Here is a 20,971-nt window from a genome sequence, read left to right as displayed (position 1 = left end):
AGCATGGAATGTTTTTCCATTTGTTTGAGTCCTCTCTTATTTCCTCGAGAAATTGTTTGTAGTTTCCCTTGAAGAGGTCCTTCACATCCCTTGTAAGTTGTATTCCTAGGTATTTCATTAGCTTTGTAGCAATTGCGAATGGGAGTTCACTCACGATTTGGCTCTCTGTTTGTCTATTACTGATGTATAGGAATCCTTGTGATTTTTGCACATCGATTTTGTATCCTGAGACTTTGATGAAGTTGCTTATCAGCTTCAGGAGTTTTGGGGCTGAGACGATGGGGTTCGCTAAGTATACAATCATGTCATCTGCAAAGAGAGACAATTTGACTTCCTCTCTTCCTATTTGAATATCCTTTATTTCTTTCTCTTGCCTGATTGCCCCGGCCAGATCTTCTAATACTATGTTGAATAGGAGTGGTGAGAGAGGGCTTCTTTGTCTTGTGCCAGTTTTCAAAGGGAATGCTTCCAGTTTTTGCCCATTCAGTATCATATTGGCTGTGAGTTTGTCATAAATAGCTCTCATTATTTTGAGATATGTTCCATCATTACCTAGTTTATTGAGAGTTTTTAGCATGAAGCAGTGTTGAATTTTATCAAAGGACTTTTCTGCATCTATTGAGATAATTGTATGTTTTTTGTCATTGGTTCTGTTGATGTGATGGATTACGTTTATTGATTTGTGTATGTTGAACCAGACTTGCATCCCAGGGATGAAGCCAACTTGATTGTGGTGGATAAGCTTTTACATTGATGTGCTGTTGGATTCGGTTTGCCAGTACTTTACTGAGGAATTTTGCATCAGTGTTCATCAGGGATATTGGTCTGAAATTTTCTTTTTCTGTTGTGTCTCTGCCACGTTTTGGTATCAGGAAGCTGCTGGTCTCATAAAATGAGTTAGGTAGGATTCCCTCTTTTTATATTGTTTGGAATAGTTTCAGAAGGAATGGTACCAGCTCCTCTTTGTACCTCTGGTAGAATTCGACTGTGACTCCATCTGGTCCTGGACTTTTTGTGGTTAGTAGGCTATTAATTACTGCCTGAATTTCAGAACTTGTTATTGGTCTACTCAGGGATTCAACTTATTCCTGGTTTAGACTTAGGGGGTGTATGTGTCCAGGAATTTATCCATTTCTTCCAGATTTCTTAGTTTATTTGCATAGAGGTGTTTATAGTATTCTCTGATGTTAGTTTGTATTTCTGTGGGGTCAGTGGTGCTATCCCCTTTATCATTTTGTATTCCATCAATTTGATTCTTTTCTCTTTTCTTCTTTATTAGTCTGGCTAGTGGTCTATCTATTTTGTTGATCTTTTCAAAAACCAGCGCCTGGTTTCACCTATTTCTTTAAGAGTTTTTCGTGTCTCTACCTTTACCAGTTCTGCTCTGATCTCAGTTATTTCCTGTCTTCTGCTAGCTTTTGAATTTGTTTTTGCTTCTGTAGTTCTTTTAATTGTGATGTTAGGGTGTCGATTTTAGATCTTTCCTGCTTTCTCTTGTGGGCATTTGGTGCTATAATTTTCCCTCTAAGCACTGCTTATCTGTGTTCCAGAGATTCTGGTACGTTGTATCTTTGTTCTGATTGGTTTCAAAGAACATCTTTATTTCTGCCTTAATTTCGTTATTTACCCAGTAGTCATTCAGGAACAGGTTGCTCAGTGTCTATGTAGTTGTGCAATTTTGAGTGAGTTTCTTAGTCCTAAGTTCTAATTTGATTGCACTGTGGTCTGAGAGACTGTTTGTTATGGTTTCCATTCTTTTGCATTTGCTGAGGAGTGTTTTACTTCCAATTACGTGGTCAATATTTGAATATGTGTGAGGTGGTGCTGAGAAGAATGTATATTCTGTAGATTTGGGGTGGAGAGTTCTGTAGATGTCTATTAGGTCCGCTTGGTCCAGAGCTGAGTTCAAGTCCTGAATATCCTTGTTAATTTTCTGTCTCGTTGATCTGTCTAATATTGCCAGTGGGGTGTTAAAGTCTCCCACTATTTTTGTGTGGGAGTCTAAGTCTCTTTATAGGTCCCTAAGAACTTGCTTTCTGAATCTGGGTGCTCCTGTATTGGGTGCATATATATTTAGGATAGTTAGCACTTCTTGTTGCATTGATCCCTTTATCATTATGTAATGTTCTTGTCTTCTTTTTTTCTTTGTTGGTTTAAAGTCTGTTTTATCAGAGACTAGGATTGCTACCCCTGCTTTTTTTGCTTTCCATTTGCTTGGTAAATATTTCTCCATCCCTTTATTTTGAGCCTGTGTGTCTTTGCACATGAGATGGGTCTCCTGAATAAAGTACACCAATGGGTTTTGACTCTTTATCCAATTATCCAGTCTGTGTCTTTTAATTGGGGCATTTAGCCCGTTTACATTTAAGTTTAATATTGTTATGTGTGAATTTGATCCTGTCATTATGATACTATCTGGTTATTTGGGCTGTTAGTTGATGCGGTTTCTTCATAGTGCCGATGGTCTTTACAATTTGGTATGTTTTTGCAGTGGCTGGTACTGGCTGTTCCTTTCCATGTTTAGTGCTTCCTTCGGGAGCTCTTGTAAGGCAGATTTGGTGACCAAATCTCTCAGCATTTGCTTGTCTGTAAAGGATTTTATTTCTCCTTCGCTTATGAAGCATAGTGTGGCTGGATATGAAATTCTGGGTTGAAAATTCTTCTCTTTATGAATGTTGAATCAATATTCATCACTCTCTTCTGGCTTTTCTTCTGTAGGGTTTCTGCAGAGAGATCTGCTGTTAGTCTGATTGGCTTCCCCTTGTGGGTAATCCGACTTTTCTCTCTGGCTCCCCTTAACAATTTTTCCTGCATTTCAACCTTGGTGAATCTAATGATTATGTGTCTTGGGGTTGCTCTTCTCAAGGAGTATCTTTGTGGTGTTCTTTGTACTTCCTGAATTTGAATGTTGCCCTGTCTTTTTAGGTTGGGGAAGTTCTCCTGGATAATATCCTAAAGAGTGTTTTCCAACTTGGTTCCATTCTCCCCATCACTTTCAGGTACACCAATCAAATGTAGATTTGGTCTTTTCACATCGTCCCATATTTCTTGGAGGCTTTGTTTGTTCCTTTTCATTCTTTTTTCTCTAATCTTGTTTTCTCGCTTTATTTCATTAAGTGAATTTTCAATTTCTGATATCCTTTCTTCTGCTTGATCAATTCAGCTATTGATACTTGTGTATGCTTCACGAAGTTCTCATGCTGTGTTTTTTAGCCCCATCAGGTTATGTTCTTCTCTAAATTGGTTATTCTAGTTAGCAATTTGCCTAACCTTTTTTCAAGGTTCTTACCTTCCTTGCATTGGGTTAGAACATGCTCCTTTAGCTCGGAGGAGTTTGTTATTACCCACCTTCAGAACCCTACTTCTGTCAATTTGTCAAACTCATTCTCCATCCAGTTTTCTTCCCTTGCCGGTGAGGAGTTGTGATCCTTTGGAGGAGAAGAGGCATTCTGGTTTTTGCGATTTTCAGCCTTTTTGCACTTGTTTCTCCCCATCTTTGTGGATTTATCTACCTTTGGTCTTTGATGTTGGTGATCTTTGGACATGGTTTTGGTGTGGATGTCCTTTTTGTTGATGGTGATACTATTCCTTTCTGTTTGTTAGTTTTTCTTCTAACAGGCCCGTCTGCTGCAGGTCTGCTGGAGTTTGCTGGACATCCACTCCAGACCCTGTTTGCCGGGGTATCACCAGCAGAGCATGCAGAAGAGCAAAGATTGCTGCCTGTTTCTTCCTCTGGAAGCTTCGTTCCAGAGGGGTACTCACCAGATGCCAGTCAGAGCTCTCCTGTATGAGGTGTCTGTCAATCCCTGCTGAGAGGTGTCTCCCAGTCAGGAGATACGTGGGTAAGGGACCCATTTGAGGAGGCAGTCTGTCCCTTAGCAGAGCTCAAGTGCTGTGCTGGGAGATCCACTGCTTTCTTTAGAACTGGTAGGCAGAAATATGTTTAAGTCCACTGAAGCTGCACCCACAGCCGCCTTTGCCCCCAGATGCTCTGTCCCAGGGAGATGGGAGTTTTATCTAAAATCCCCTGACTGGGGCTGCTGCCTTTTTGCAGAGATGCCCTGCCCAGAGAGGAGGAATCTAGAGAGGTGGACTAGTGGGCTCTGCCCAGTTGTAACTTCCCAGTGGCTTTGTTTATGCTGTGAGGGGAAAACTGCTTACTCATGCCTCAGTAATAGTGGATGCCCCTACCGCCACCAAGCTGGAGCATCCCAGATCGACTTCAGACTGCTGTGCTGCCAGCAAGAATTTCAAGCCAGTGGATCTTAGCTTGCTAAGATGGTGAGTGGGATCCACTGAGCTAGATCCCTTGGCTCCCTGGCTTCAGCCCCCTTTCCAGGGAAGTGAATGGTTCTGTCTCGCTGGCATTCCAGGCACCACTGTGATATGAAAAGAAACTCCTGCAGCTAGCTCGGTGTCCACCCAAACAGCCACCCAGTTTTGTGCTTGAAACCCAGGGCCCTTGTGGCATAGGTACTGGAGGGAATCTCCTGGTCTATATCTTGTGAAGACCATGGGAAAAGTGTAGTATCTAGGCTGCAATGCATCTTTCCTCATGGCACAGTCCCTCATGGCTTCCCTTGGCTAGGGGAGGGAATTCCCCTACCCCTTGAGCTTCACGGGTGAGGTGATGTCCCACCCTGCTTCTGCTCACCCTCTGTGGGCTGCACCCACTGTCTAACCAGTTCCAGTGAGATGAGTCTGGTACCTCAGTTGGAAATGCAGAAATCATCCACCTTCTGTGTTGATCTTGCTGGGAACTGCAGACCTGAGCTTTTCTTATTTGGCCATCTTGCCAGCTGCCCACACAAGTCTTTTTATATCTGCACCCATCATGAATGGGTGTCAGTCCACATGGTCTGCATCAGGTATGGCAAAGTCCTTCACCATCCTTAGTGGTCATTTCTGCAATCCCCTCAACCCTACCTCTACTTCCACCCAACAGAGCTAACATATGCCAGGCATTGTGCTAAAAACTTTACATGAACTCACTTGTTTACTCCTCAGAGCAACTTTTTGATATAGGTATTAATATTATTCTTGTTTTCCAGATGGAGAAACTGAGGTACAGAGAGGTAAACTAGCTCAAGTTCTATATTGCTTCCAGCTGATGTTGGTGTAACCTTACCTGTAGTCTGATATTTCCTGTCAAAAAAAAATCTCATCAGGATATATCTAATTGATTTTACCACACATATGGATCCACTTCATCATTCACTAAAAGTTTGCAAACCACCCTTTGAGAATCACTGCCTTAGGTGTGTCCCTCTTTCAAGGCTGTTTGCATTTCTCAGATACCTCCAAAATGTTTCCAACCCCAAAAGGTGTCACTCTGCAGAATTTCAGGCATCAAGAGAGGCATGAGAGGAGATGGAGGCATCCTTAGCAAGCCTCAGAGTAGTGAAAGTTGGACCCTGCATGGCTTGCTCTAGTCCTCTCAGAGTTTGCTCTGCCTTTCTCAGAACCCAAGCTCTGGCCTTTTTTTCTCCTTTCTCTGAACACCAATTCACTCAACAAACATTTTCTGAGAGCCTCTCAACACTAGGGGCTCTGACAGAGGCTATGAGCAAGCAAAATTATATGTAGGAGACAAGTTCATAAATGGCTAACTACATAAACGAAGCTGTGGCAAGTGGCTGAAAAAGTGCACCAGCAAAACATCATTTGCATTTACAGAAAGGGAGATGGATTTCAACTTGGGTCCAGGCTTTAATTAATAGATGGCATTTGATCCAGGCCTGGAAGGATGGCTAGGACGTAGACAGCCAGAAGTAGGGGAAAATAAATTCTGAAAGAATATACAAAGAGACTAAAGAGTAGGTAGAAGAGTACTTAGGGACAGGTTGTAGATACTTGTTAATATCTTGCTAAGGAATTTGAAGTTAATCTTGTATGCAGTTGGGAGTCATTAAAAGTGTTTGATCAGGGGAGGATCTGATTCACGCAGTGCTTTCAGAATATAACTTCAGCAGCCTTGTGAGAATTTATTGGAAGGCAGCAAAAATTGAGGTGAGGGGACACATAGGAGGCTGATGGGATGGTCCAGGAGAGATATAATAAACAAGAGTCTAACCCAGGGTAATGGTTATGGGTATGGAGAGGAGGGGGCACACAGAAGAAATGCCATAGGAGTAGAGGTAACAGGCCTTGGCAACTAATATGTATATTTGTAGAGGCAATGCCTTCTCTTCTCCTTCCCAGTTTACCCCATTAGGGATTCCACAGCAGCCTATATGATCTCTGGGAATCTATCGTATCAGGAAGATGAAGCATTGGCTTTGTTGGGTGGCTCCTGCTGTGAGACAGGAGAGGAAGAGGAGACAGCTCACCATAGGCAGGCTGGATGGAGCCAGCTCATTCTGTTGTCATAGCACTTCAGAAAAGCATTGAATTTTAGAGCTGGAAAGTGGACCTTAGGATTGTCCTGTGAGAATGCCTTACTGTGAGGAGGGGCCCGATGAGGATAGAGGATTCTAGCAAGGGAGAAGCCTGATATGTTTTGGCTATGTGTCCCCACCCAAATCTCACCTTGAATTGTAAAAATCCCCATGTGTCAAGAGAGGGACCTGGTGGGAGGTAATTGAATCATGGGGGTGGTTTCCTCTATGGTGTTCTCATGATACTGAGTTCTCATGAGATCTGATGGTTTTATAAGGGGCTTCCCCTTTACTCATTGTACATTCTCTCTCCTGCTGCCCTTTGAAGAGGTGCCTTATGCCATGATTGTAAGTTTCCTGAGCCACCGTCCACCAAGTCATTCAGAACTGTGAGTCAATTAAACCTCTTTTCTTTATAAATTGCTCAGTTTCGGGTATTTCTTCATGCAGCATGTGAATGAACTAATACAGGGACTTTAGGAAAAACCTCAGGCTTGATCTCTTAAGGTTCCCTCTTCCTCATCCTTCCTTCTTTCCCTTCTCCTCTCTCCTTCCCCCTCCTCCTCTTCTTTTCTCCTCATTCATCACCATGTCTTCATCCTCCTTCTTTTCCATTTTTCTTGTCTCTCCTTTTCGTCCCCTCCCTCTCTTCCTCATCCTCCTGTTTATCTTCCTCCTCCTTTTCCTCCTTTTCTTCTCCTTTCTTTCACCCTCTCAAAACTTTCACCAGTAATGCAAGTTTCCCTTGGAGCTCAGGAATCAGCTCCTCAAACCTGAGAGATGGCCTAAGACATTTGAGGTCAGGGAAGGGGGTCAGATCCCCTGGAAGAAGCCTCACCTCCCTCTAAACAGACACCATGCTGGCTTTCTTTGTAATTCTTTTTCTCTTCAAGCATTCCTCTGGCTGGAAGATTCTCTTTTTGTCTTCTCACCACCTCACTGGAGAAAGGCTTAGCAGGCCCACCAAACAGAAGGTTTAGTGGTTTCCCCAGAATACTGAAGGTTAGTAAGAATAGGGGCTGAAGGCCAACCCTCTTGTTTCCTCACTTGTTTCTCTTTTCTACGGGCCCCTAACATCTAAAGTGTGGTCCCTGGACTAGCAGTATCCACATTACCTGAAGGCCTGTTAGAAATGCAGACCCTTAGGCACCACCCCAGACCTACTGAATCAGAATTTTCATTTTAACAAAAACATCCATGAACATTAAAGTTTGAGAAGCACTGCTCTACATAGACCTCACCCCTCATGTATGGACACAGCCATTTCTAGAACAACCCATTCTGGGTTTGGTCTCCTAGACCTGTGGAGGGGTAAAGAAGCTGAAAATCAGAGAGACCTGGAGGGCAGTGGTCTCTGGCGACCAGGCATCTGGTCACCATGCAGATGCCTGCAGAAGCTGGGCAGGGGCCAGTGGGCAGGGGCTCTGGCTTTAAGGAACGTAGCTGCTGCCGAGCTCAAGCTCATTATTGCAAGGTGGGAATACAAGCCCAGGGCTTCCAGACTTTCCAGTGTTTCAAGAGAAGCTGTATTTTTATATGAAGTCCAGATTTTTATGTAAAATATATTGAGCTTTTTGAAATACATATTGTTTAGCCTCCAACAAGCATTTAAGACACTGTGGTGGGCAAATAAAACAGGAGGTCAGTTGCCCAGACTTTCCATTTGATGTAGTTTCACTTTGTTTTTTTAGAAGCAGGAACTATGTTCAATCATAATCTTACCTGGAAGCTTAATGTGTAAAACAGGTGAAAGGAGAACCACTTTGGTTAAAGTGGAGCCTAGAGCTCCTCCCAGTCAGCCTCCCACATGTACCCCAGGACAAGAAGTAGCCTCTGAAGGACCCTCCCTACATTCTACAAAAGCAGAGGTCAAAAAGTATTGAGAGGTTCTAATCACACACATCATTTGACAGATGAGGAGACTGAGTAGCTTATCCGAGGCTACATAGGAAGTTAGCAGTCACCCAACTGCTAGTCCGGTGCCCTTCTCCCCTTGGCTCACTGACTTCTTTGCATGGTTCTCCAGTGCAGCCTTCTATCAATGGAAGAGTCATTCTACAGCATCTCTGGCAGGTACTTTTCTAGACTCTGCTTGGATACCTTCAGTGATGGGATTTCATAAGGTTGGACATTAATATTTGAATTTAGCTTTTCAGAGAATCTTTGAAGAGATACATAATATATGTGAGATTTGCAGGTCCTGAATCCACCCAAGTGATTTAATCAACACCATTGTCTGGATAGAGGTTAAATCTGCTCATCTAATTGAAACTCCTCATGCCATTATTTCAGTTCCTGCCTTTGTCCTGAAAATCAATAGTGAACTGGAGAGCAAATTATTTGGTAGACAAGAAGCTGTTTGAGGCTGAAGGCATGGCATGGGAGGAAGATAAGAGGGAGGTAAAGAGAAAAGAGACAGACGTTAGGAAGAAGTGAACTTAAAGTCACTTCAGTTCTACAAATTTGAGAGTAGAGAGCCCATGGAGAGCTTAAAGAACGAGACTAACTAGTGGGTATATACCTTGGTGGAAGGAACAGGCCTTTCATTTGACTGGGTGATCAAGCTGAAGTGGCCTGGGGGAAGAGTACTGGGCCAAGACCCCCTACTTTCCAGGGTGATGCTTTCTACAGCAGCCTATTGAGCAGCATCTGATCCTGTCTCCAAGCTTTGACTGTTGTTGTCTGAAGGAAGACAAGCATGACCACTTCCTGCTCTTCCTTGATCTGCTTGGAGCTGCTTCAAGAGCTTGCTTCAAGTTTCCCTGGGGATCATGGGTTTACAGTGTCAGGGACATGTTTGGAAAACATGGGGATGAAGAATTGTGTTCTGAGGGGAATGACTACCTAGCTGATATTCCCACAGAGGAGATGGGAGCCCACATGCTCAGTAAACCTTTTTTTAAAATCAGGAATTCTGCCTGTCCTCAGCATCTCTGACTATCGTGCTTCCAAATGCTGATAAAGATGTTTCCTTTTGAGGTCGGGGGAGGGCAAATAAAATTACCTTAATGGCTCCAACACAATGACAGGAGTTTGGTCTAGAGCTGAGCTTCTCACACTTTAATGTGCACATGAGTCACTGGCGAACTTATGAAAATCTTCATGCTGAGTCAGTAGGTCTGGGGTACATCTGGGATTCTGCATTTCTAGTAACCTCCCAGGTGATATTGATGCTGCTATTCCAAGCCCCATACTTTGAGTAGTATCAAGGGGCTAGATTACCTTGATAATTCGTTCAGCTGGATTTTTCTTCTCAAAGTCTAAGATTATATTTATGTATGTACCTATATGCACTTTTCCTATTGCACTAACATCTTGCTTTAAATTATTTTGTATTAGCTTATTTGAGGATAACATCTATCATGTTTCCCATTTCTTCCCCTCTGCCTTCAGAACCCCGGCTTCTTTGCAGCACATGCCATCTGCCTCTGCCACCCACTATCTCTTCCTTGTGCTTTCATTTCCTGACGTTCTGGCCCTGCCTGAGTCCCTGATATCATTTTCTATCAATAATTATAGTTACCCAAACTCTGTCACATTGGCCTTCTCCTATCCCTTGTGCATCTCAGCCTCATTTCCATCTCTGGGCCTTTGCTTTTGTTGTTCCTTCTCGTTTGGAATGCTATTTCCCCAGACCTTTGAATGAATGGTTTCTTCTAATTATTCCAGTGTCAACTCAGATGTCACTTCTTTAGAGGGGCCTACTTTGTGTGCCTAGGTAAAGCAGTATCTCCCTCTACCAGTCACCTGCTATTACATTATTATTTTTATAATAATTATTTAGTACCTATGTTACCTTATTTTTTGTTTTTGTGTTCAATGTCTAAATCTGTATTAGAACATAAGCTCCTGGAGGATAGAGGCCTAGTCTGTCTTACTCACTGCTATATACCCAGCACCTAGAACAGACCTTGGCATATAGTAGGCACTTGGTGCATAATTCTTGGTGCATAGACTGTCTTTCTGGACATTCTTTTTCATTCACCGAAGACTTTAACTTCTAGATCATCACTTGTCTTAATCCTTTCTTCTGTCTGTATGACCTCAACATTCCTGTAGGTGGCCTATTCAACTTTGACCTCACCTTTCACAGCTTTTTTCTGCACTTCACTCAGCCGGAACACTTCTGTGATAACACTCTAGATCTTGTCATAACCAGTAACCAACTGGATTACTTTCACAATCTTGATTTATTTCAAGCGTCTTCTCTCTGACTACTGTGTCCTCTTATTCCAGTTCACTTTGATACATTTCCAACAATTCGTCCACATATCAGAATCTCCAATTCATTGTCCCTACCATTTAATTGACCTTACCCCATTACCCAACACCTTTTTTCATGACCTCTTTTTCCTTGTGTCTGGGTTAGATTCCTTGGTCCACTATTATGATCACTTCCTTGCAAATGCTTGCAACTCTATTATCCATTTATTTTCCCATTGTATTTGCACGGCAAATCTCCTCTAGATTTCACCCACCCACCTGTCATCTCTATACCCGTGCCTGAAGATAAAAATAGACTGGAGACAATTGCTACAGTTGGGCTGATTTATTTTTCTTTACCACAAGTCTGAATTAGGCACTCAACATTTATTTTTTGTGTGTGTGCCCCTATTCCTAAGATATACTGATTTTTATTTATTTTTTTGTAGATACTTAACATTTCCTGCAAGCCCTACCGTATGTCCCTGATGTGCTTACTTTTCCACTGCCTCTCAGACAGCATCTCTCAACCTTAGTTGCACATTAGAATCATCTGGGGAGCTTTTTAAAATCCTGATGCCCAGGCTGTATCCTATTCCAATGAAATAATAATCCCTGAAGGTGGGATTTAGACATCTATGGTTTTTAAAGCTTCCCACATAATTCCAATGTGCAGCCAAGATTGAGAGCCACTGTGCTGAAAGAACTATTTCACACTTGCTCCTCCTTTCTGTAACCTCCACTGACACCTCCCTCCATAATCCTCTCTCAGCTTCATGGAGAAAAATTTTAAAAACGTTGTAGGGGTATTTCCTTCCCTTTTATTCACCAAATCTATAGGCTCACCATCACCTGCACATTTACCCATTTTCTCTTCTTGTCTGCTAGAGTTCAGGAAGTGATTTTGCTCCTATCAAGGCAAATCTTTTTTGCTCTGGAATCCATCCCCTCTCACTTTCTGAAGGACTTTGCTCCTGCAGGTATCCCCTCTCTTAAACCAGTGCTTCTCAAACTTAAATGTACATGCAGATCATCTGAGGATCTAGTTGAAATGTAGATTATGATTAAGTAGATGTGGGATGGGGCTTGAGGTTCTACATTTCTAACAAACACCCAGGTGATGATGTTGTTGTTGGTTTGTCGACCATGCTTCAACTAGCAAGGTCTTATGTGATAAGCCTTTCCTCTCATTCCCATCATTATATCAATATGTCCTTATTTGCATGTTAAAAGAATAAAAAGGACTTCCTTGACCTCACATCCCCTTCCAAATATTGTCTTGTCTTATTCCCTTCACAGGAGAACTTCTCAAAGTGTTGTCTACACTCATTGTCTCTACTTGTTTACTTTTGCTCACTCTTTACTCCCTTCATTCACTCCTCTACCCCTCCAATATGATCTTTCTTACTCTCATGCCAGTGAAGCTACTTTTGTCAAAATCACCAACCTTGTTGCCAGTACAATGGGCATATCATTTAACTTTTCAACATTTCACACACCTAGTCTTGAAACATTCACCTGAATATGATTTATCCTCGTTTTATTTTTACCTTATTGGCCACTGCTTCTCAGTCTCTATAGATAAATCTCTCCTTCTCTGTGGAACTTTTATCTAATTGTTAAGAACCTCAGGATTTGTCCAGGGCCCTTTTTAAAATCTATGTTCCCTCCTAGATGATTACATCCTGTCTTGGGACTTTAAATATCATAAATATGAGGAAGACTCCAAAATGTGTATGTCCAGCTAGATCTTCTCTCCTGAGCTCCAGGCTTTCATATCTAGTTGTCTTCCTGACATCCCCTCTAATAATATAACTATTGGGCAGCTCACTCTCAATACATTCAAATGGAAGTCTTGAGTTTTTTCCCTCTTCAAACCCGAGCTTATGCCAGTCTCCCCACATTAGCCAAAGTGCCACCATCTACCCAGTATTGCAAACCAAAAACCTAAAGTTTTCTGGAATTTCTTCATTTTTTTCCCTCACACTCCACATCCAATCCATCATCAAGCTCTGTTATTTCTATCTCTAAAATATATCTCAAATCTTTTTACCTCTGTCCATCATCTTTACTGTTCTTCCAGTCCAAGTCACCATCATCTTTCCCCTGTAAAAACAACAGTTTTTTAAAAGACAATGTAAATCTTTTAAAAATGTAAATCGGATCAGTTAATTCTCCTGCTTAAAAATCCCTCAGTTCCCACGCCTCTCTCCCTGTAGTTCATAGAATAAATCCAGATTGTTTTACTATGGTCTTCAAGGCTTTATATGACCTGGCTTCTGTCAAATTTGTCTCCTATCATTCTCCCTCTTTCTTTCTAGGTTTCAGCCTCATTGCGCTTCTAATTCCTGCAACATTACATGCCAGTTCAATCCTTTGGGCTTCTGTACTTTCTGTTTTCTGTGCCTGGAATACTTTCCCCCTACCTCTTACATGGCTGGCTCGCCTTAAGCCTTTAGGCCTTAATTTGAATACCTTCTCCTTGGAGAAGCCTTCCTTATCTAAACTCCCTTTCCTCCCCCAGAGTTACTCTATCCCTTCACTTTCTTTCTTTTATAGCACTTATCACCATCTGTATTAGCACATTTGCTTACCAGATTTAGTTGTTTATTGAATAGAAATGAGGGCATGAACTCTGTCCATCTTGTTCACTGCTATGGCATCAGTGCTTAACATACTATACCTGGCACATTGTAGGCACACATATTTATTGATTTTATGAATAAATAAAAATAGGTAGTAATGTATGTACGAAATATTGCTTTGTAAAGATAAGAGTTTATAATATACACGTTAGTCTTGGGCCTCCAATATTTGGAATTATAGTAGTTGTGTCCTTTCAGTATTTACCCGTTTTCACTACTGCACTCCACTCACTGGAGAATCAAGGGTTTGAGTTTTTATCCCAGCTCAGCCACTAACTTACTTTGTGACTTTGGGAGCTCCTTCCATTCCCTGGGGCTATATCTTCTCATCAGTAAAATGAGACTGTTGGAGGAAATAATCTTTACAATTATTAAGGCCAACTCTGATATCTATGGATCAGTGATTCTTTAACACTCTTAGGTACACAATTAGTGTGTTCATTGTATGACTGGAGAACCTGAGTCACAGATAAGCTGGGACATGACTGTCTTTCTCTTCATTTTGCTCATGGCCCTCTACTAGAGTGGAGAGCTGGTGCCTGGCTAGGTACCAAAGAGGCTTCTGGGAGATCACAGGACTTCAAGAGAGTGAACACAGAGATTATGGAAACCCCTTTTCCAGATTTCTATTGTCCTGTCCTGAATTCTTACTGGCTTCCAGGCCCTGTGCTAAGTACTTTCCTTGGACAAATTTATCAAATCTTTGTAACTATCTTGTCAGCCCTATTCACAGATAAAGAAACTGTCAGGGCATAGAACATTGAATAATCTGCCCAAGTAAGTGGCAAAGCCAATAACTGAATACAATCCAAGTTGTTCTGACTTCAGAGATTATGCCCTACCAACTACATTATGTCTCCTCTAACTACTCATATGGTTCTAGGCAAATAGGTGCTCAAGACATAATGACTGGATTCAACAGCATCTATTTACACCTCTGGGATCAACACGTTTTTTGCAGGAGTCTCTAGGCACCTGTTTTTTGCAGGAGTCCCTAGGCTTTATATTAACACTGGCCTGTTTGCATCCAGATCCATTCTCCACTCTTCTCCTGAAAATTACATTTGTTAGATTTCCTTGCTTTCTCACTTCTTTTGTCCAATGGGAGACATGTACAGGAGATTGGTGGCTAGGAGGAAGGGAGAACCCAGGGTATTTCTCCCACCACCTGTATCAGAGAGGTGTTTTCTGGTGGTAGCTGTATTCCTCCATGGCTCCAGCTCCTCTTGAACAACTCTTCCATTCATGGCACCTGCTTCCAATAGGCTGTCCAACCCATGATTTTAGCTTCTGCATGGCTTCATCTGTTATCCGTCCATCCCTACGAGTGGTAGCAGCTTTCTGTGTTTGTTAAATGCTAGGTTGCTGCATCCTCATCCTCTGTCTGGCTTGTTAGCTCTGTAAGTGTCATGCATTAAATGCTCGCAGTTTAAAAGACCTAGGGTGGTTTTTATTTTCCTGATTGGACCATGACCGGCACAGATACTTTCCACAATTCCAGGGCTACTCACATCACATAAATTGGTTTATATCCTTCAGAGCACATATTACAATCTCTAAATATTTTTGTTTGTTTACTTATTTATTGTCTATCTCTCTTCTGTAAGTAGATTGTAAGGTCCATGAGGAACTTTGTCTTGTATCCTGAGCATCTGTCACAATGCCTGGCACACAGGGGCTAAATGATAATGTTGAATGAATGCATCCATCAAAAAATTCCAAGTTTTTATTGGGTATTTACTATGTGCCAGTCACTGTTGTAGAAGATGCAGAAATTAGTAATTCATTGCCACTGCTTCAAAAACACATAATGCCATTTAAGTGAAAGGGGACAGTAAAATGTTCATATGACCATTGTGTTAGTTCGCTAGGGCTGTGCCATAACAAAATACCACAGACTCTGTGGCTTAAACAACAGAAATTGAGTTTCTTATAATCCTGGAGGCCAGAAGTCTGAGAACAAGGTATCAGTGGGGTTGGGTCTTCTGAGGCCTCTCTCCTTGGCTTGCTGTTTAGATGACTGTCTTCTCCGAGTCATCAGATTCTGAGGTACTGGAAGGACTTCAACATATAAATTTTGGGGGAAAACAATTCAGCCCGTAACATCCAGGAAATAAAAAGATCATTTTTAATCGAGACAGTGAAATCGTAGTGCTATAGGAATCAAATGAAAGATGACAAAATCAGGGCCTGGAGGTATTCCTGGAAAGCTTTCTAAAGGTGGTGTGCCTGGTGCCAGATCTTGAACAGTCATGACAGTTTGAATGGGCTGGTTGGCAGGGGAGGTGCATCCAAGATACTGAGCATGAAAGAAGGCCCAGAGATGGGAAAGTGAGAGAACATTGTGGAATCACTGATGCCTGGGTTACCAGACTTGGGAGGGAAGTTGAAAGGTCATCCAGGGCAACCTCCCATTTGATTCAGGAATCCCTTGCCAAAGGGTCATTCAGCTTCTGCTTGTACACCTCCCATGATGGGGTGCTCATTAAGGTACTGCTTCTATCTTTGCCCAGCTCTGCATGGACAAAACAACAGGTTGGATGAAGTGCAGAAGTTGTGCTAAAAAGAAGAGGACAAATAAAGTACGTGTAACAGGCCAGTGATGTCTTCATGTCAATTATCTCCAGGAACTTCTTTCTAATATCATACTGTAACTCCTTTTACTTTGGTTGCAACCTCTGTTTTTGCAATTCTGTCTTTGCCTGACCTGCTCTTCTAGTCAGGAGCCTTGGATTCTTGTCTTGTTTGGCTGTGCTACTTTAAGCAGAAGTCTTTCAATCTCTGGGCTTCAGTGTTCAAGTCTGTAATGGTGGGCAATTAAGAATCCTTGTTGTGTCCATCTCATAGAGTTACTGTGAGGATTATAAGGGATAATAACAGATGTTAGTGTGACTGACAAAGTCAATTTTTAGCCTAAGCAAAGGTACCAGCCTGTGTTGTGTTCCCCAGAGTTGGGGGAATCATAAAGAGGTGGGTGGTTTCTCCGTTTGCCTGTTTCGCTGATGTGCATTCAACTCATTCTCAGCAAAATAAGCAAATGGAAAATTCGTCCATCAACAAGCTACCTTTCATGTTCCTAAGGGCATGAAGGAGAAGCCTGGAGTGGTGTGTGTGAGATAGAAAGGGAGAGATAGCCGAAAGAGGCTTGGAAAGCCGCAGAGGGTAAAGTCGAGGATTTATCTTTTTTTTTTCTTTAATGTGACCTTATGCCCCTTCCCTCTTCCAAACCTCCATTTATTTATCTATAACTTGGAGATACTAATGGCTGCCTCTACAGGGTTGTTCTGAGAAGTGAAAGTAATGCAGATGAAAGCTCTCAGATAGTACACAAAGAGAGAAGACCCTAGGGGAGTATGCAGAGGGAGGGTGGGGGAGGGAGGCATGAGAGTGCTGGCTTGGCTCCACTGGGGCAGGATCTTATTATTCTGGAGATTGGCACAACACCTCTGGTAACTTTGGAAAGGACTTTCCGCTGACTCGACACAATTGGGAAGCCCCACAATAAACAGCATCTAACTCCAGCGCAGCGGGAGGCAGGCAGAGGTAGCAGCTGCCTTCTCCTGGGCGGGCGGAGGCTATTCGCCCCCATCCTCTCCCTGCACCCCACCCCCACAGTTCTCAAGCCTTGGTGGGGGACAAAAGCAGCCCATTAGGACCCCCCCACACTCGCACCTCTCCCTGCCAAGACCTCTAGGAGCAGCAGGGCGGAGAGACAGAGCCTGCCGGTTGGCATGGAACAAACTGACTGAAGGCGAGGTCCGGGGCGGAGGGGATTGGGTTGTAGGGCTGTGGAGGAGGGGCGGCGGAGGGGGCGCTGGGGCTCTCGCTTGCTTCAGCCCAGCCCTTCTAGTCAGCCCGCGACAACTCGCGCCAGCTACGGGGCCTCAGAGAAGCCGGACTTCGCAAGCACCATGCAGTGGATAAGGGGCGGATCGGGAATGGTGAGTGCATGTAACCTTGGCTTCCCTTGCTTGAGCCTCTCAGTCCCCCAGCCCCACCTCCAGTTCCTCCAACGAGCCACAAGGCAGTGAGCACCCTGGCCTCTGCCCACCGCCCTAGCCGCCGTCCTTGAGACACCAGTGAGCTTGCTGTGGCCATTTTAGGAGTCCCTGCTAGCCTGCCTGCCCAGGAAACCCCCCTACCATCCCCCTCCACTTTTCTATCTCCCTCTGAGATTAAGGTGGAATAGGGGTGGGGGCCAGATTATGTGCCCAGGAACATCCCAGGGGTCACTTGGGAGGCCAGAGAGGGAAGGGGGATGGCAGAGGGCTTCTCTGGAAGCAGTGAAGCTCGCAGGAGGCTGACAAGCTGGCACGGGGTTGTGGGGGGAGGGGACGGTCACAAAGCCTGGAATTGTGGAGGGGGCCTTATGGGAGAGCTGCATGACTCCCCCCTGCCCCCAACTAGATTTTCTGCAACTCCTTTCCCTGGTCAGCCCCAGAGCATGAGGGCCAGAGAGCCACTCTCTCTCTCTCAGGAAGCTGCCTGAGGGAGCCCTAAAGCCCTTCCTTGTCCGGGCTGGGGTCACCCTGTCCACACTTGGGGCTTTGTCAAGGAGAGACAGCTGCAGAAACCCACATTCTGGAAATGGGCTTGGGCCACAGTCAGTTAACAGAGCTCTTCTCTCCCTCCCAAGGAGTGTGTGCTTGTGTGTGTGTTTAGTATAATCCTCCAACAGTTCATTTTATGCCATGGTGTTCCCTTCTCCACCTGGAGACCTTGGAATGACTTCCTTTTGCAGAGAGGAAGTGGTGGCTGCATTTTGATGCCTCTCTGACTTAGCCAGGAGCAGCTTAAGCCTGGTTAGGGCCTCTGGGGAGTGGGAGGCCCCCATGACTTTGTCCTCAGCTGGGAGGCATAAGCAAAAGGGCCTTAGAAGGCAGTTAGGTTGGGTCAGCAGGCACTGATGGCAATAGCCCACACTTCTACGCTGCCACCCATAACCCGCAGATGAAGGAAAGTAGCCTGAAGTGGTTGGGCAAAAACTGATATTTAACTCCATTTTTGCTTTCATTGTGGAGGGGAAGAGGGAATCTGGTGTGGGCTAGGACTATATTCAGAGGGGCTGTCCTCTTCCCTTCCTCAGAGTTTTGTTAGATCTCTGTTTCAGTGGTTCTTAAGGGCATCCGGTTCATATGCCTATGTGCTGGGGCTTCAAAAGACCCTTCTTCCCAGACCTCCCTACTTCCCTGAGGTCCCATTAAAGCTGCATCAAATGTTTGTAGAACCAGAAAAGATTAGAGCAGGTAAAGACCTTAGAGTCCTTGCTGTCCAGCCAGGAAAGCTGGGATCCAGAGAGTGGGAGAGACTTGCCCAGGACCACAAACTCCTTGGAGGCAAAGCTGAGTCTAGCACTTGAGTCTCCTGACTGCCACAGTCCTTCCCCACTGCTCCACCAATCATTTGCTCAAATGGTGCTGAGAGGGGAAGAAAGGAACATAGTCATGATCTTGGGAAAGGACTTTCTTCAGGATGATCTAGTGCCATTAAATTTACCTGAAAGCCGGGCGCGGCCGCCCACGCCTGTAATCCCAGCACTTTGGGAGGCCGAGGCGGGTGGATCATCTGAGGTCGGGAGCTCAAGAACAGCCTGACCAACGTGGAGAAACCCCGTCTCTACTAAAAAGACAAAATTAGCTGGACGTAGTGGCACATGCCTGAGGCTGAGGCAGGAGAATCACTCGAACCCAGGAGGGGGAGGTTGCGGTGAGCCGAGATTGTGCCGTTGCAGTCCAGCCTGAGCAACAAGAGCGAAACTCCATCTCAAAAAAAAAAAAAAAAAATTACCCGAAAAAAATCCATGCCAGTCCTGGCATTTCTGGCAACTGGGAACTGGGTCAGGGTGAGACTTACTTCCTCTCCCAAATATATTGAAGTATAGGGGCCCAGAGCCACTCATTGACAACAGGTTAAATTAATGAAGAAATTTGAAGTTTTGCCAACAGTGTATGAGAGAGAAAAGGGTGGCAGACATCTTGTGGAGACTGTGTAATTAAGGATTGGTTGATGGGGAAAAATCTCATAATATTCTTAGAGGACTGAGACAATGAATATTATATGATGAAAGCATTTATTTAGCTGTTTACCAGAATTCAAGAGATGGGAGTAGTAAACTCTATTCTTGCCTGAGAGGCAGGGAACCTCTAAGTTTTGGCCTTGCCACTAACAGAAATCCTTTGGGCCTCAGATTTCTTACCTATTAAATGCGGATGTTAATAAGCACCAAAATTCCTTCTAGGCCTTAGATTCTCAGATTCCTAGAAGTATGTGTTGGATAAAATTTAACTAGTGGCTCATTACGAACAAATAGGGATTGTGTATCTAGCCACCATTTTATAACGTGGCTAGCTGAAAGATCTTTGCTCCTTGTTCTTTCGTTTGCAAGGTGCCCGAAGTACAAACTGAGCTTTTTATAACAGTGAGATTTCTTTTTAGTACATTTGACTGTAGTAACTTATTTCAAGTGTTACATGTAAATCGTGGGCCTTGAACATAAAACATTGTTCAAGATTTTACAGAATAAAATCTGTCTCATAGATACAGGATGCTAAACTGTGAGTTCACACTGGACGGTAAATTGTTATTTATTCTTGGCTTCTTTCTGCAATGCCAGTTTGTGCTGGGTTAGCCAGTATGCCTAAATTGGAAAGAACACTGTTCTCAGAGTAACAAATCAGAGGTTTAGGACCCGGCTTTTATGTTTCTCAGTCCTGAAACTATTACCAATTGTCGAACCTACTTTATTCTCAGTATTCTCTTACATAAAATGGGGATAAAGTGCCTTTTTATAGGTACTATCGGGTCATTAATTTATTCAACACAAATGTAGGGGATCTGCTATGAAATGACACTGATCTAAGTTCAGGGGAGATCACAATGAAAAAAAATTCCTCACTTTCATGGAGCTTATATTCTAGGGGTTGTGAAGTTCATTAAACCATAACAGAAATGAATATACACTATGTCAGGAGGTGGTAATCACTAGGAAAAAAAATAAAACCTGTTAAGAGCATAGAGACACATGGGAAGTTGGATGGTATATTAGATCCATCAAAGCCTCACTAGTTAAGGGGCATTTGAGCAAAGATGTGAAGGAAGTGCAGGAACAAGCTCTGTGTATATGTTTAGGAGAAGAGGATTTTAGGCATAAAGAACATCCAGAAAGAACACAACTGGTTTGTTTAAAGAACAGCAAGGAGGCCAATGTCCTTGGGATAAAGAATTAGTACATGGAAGAAGGATAGATGAAATCAGAGAGAAAACAGCCACTTTTATAGGGCATTATTCTGAGTGAGATTGGGAGCCATTGAAAGGTTTTGAACAGATGAGGGACATGATCTGACTTAAATTTTAACAGGAGGCTAAATTGTAGTGGGACAAGGACGAGAACTGTGAGGAGGCCCAGGTTAGACGTGATGGTTGCTTGGATCAGGGTGATAATGGTGGAGATGATCTATATGAAATGACTGACATCATTGTTTATAGATGATACGTGTCTTTCTCCTTTCTGATCACCTGCTCGGACCCTCAGATCGCTAAGAGTGGGGCTAGAAAGAACATAGAGTGGGTCTATACATGGAGGGGCATTTCATATCTAAGTCAATGTTCGAGTGATCTGCTTTTGGACTTCTGACCATGGTAGGGCTAATTGAGACTTGGTTCTATGTGGATTACCAATAAATTAATACCCTGCTTTCTGGAATTCTGGAGAAGAAGATTAAGTGTATTATTAGCACTTCAGTGTTG

General features: G+C 43.4%; 1 protein-coding gene and 1 non-coding gene across 6 annotated transcripts in view; both read left to right on the top strand.

The window, feature by feature from the left end:
* MIR1468 (microRNA 1468) lies at nucleotides 16,195–16,280 on the top strand. The gene has a single exon (NR_031567.1). It is a non-coding gene; the product is annotated as a microRNA 1468 (primary transcript).
* The window catches only part of ARHGEF9 (Cdc42 guanine nucleotide exchange factor 9), a 150,248-nt gene continuing 146,344 nt past the window's right edge, over nucleotides 17,068–20,971 (top strand). For all 5 annotated transcript variants that reach the window (NM_001173479.2, NM_001353922.2, NM_001353921.2 and 2 more), the window contains exon 1: nucleotides 17,068–17,166. In NM_001173479.2, coding sequence (NP_001166950.1) covers nucleotides 17,137–17,166 — 30 coding nt within the window. In that variant the 5' untranslated portion in view covers nucleotides 17,068–17,136. The remainder of the gene's footprint in view (nucleotides 17,167–20,971) is intronic.

The sequence above is a fragment of the Homo sapiens genome, chromosome X (genome assembly GCF_000001405.40).
Source record: "Homo sapiens chromosome X, GRCh38.p14 Primary Assembly".
In the NCBI taxonomy this organism is placed as follows: domain Eukaryota; kingdom Metazoa; phylum Chordata; class Mammalia; order Primates; family Hominidae; genus Homo; species Homo sapiens.
This window is presented reverse-complemented; position numbering and strand designations above follow the sequence as displayed.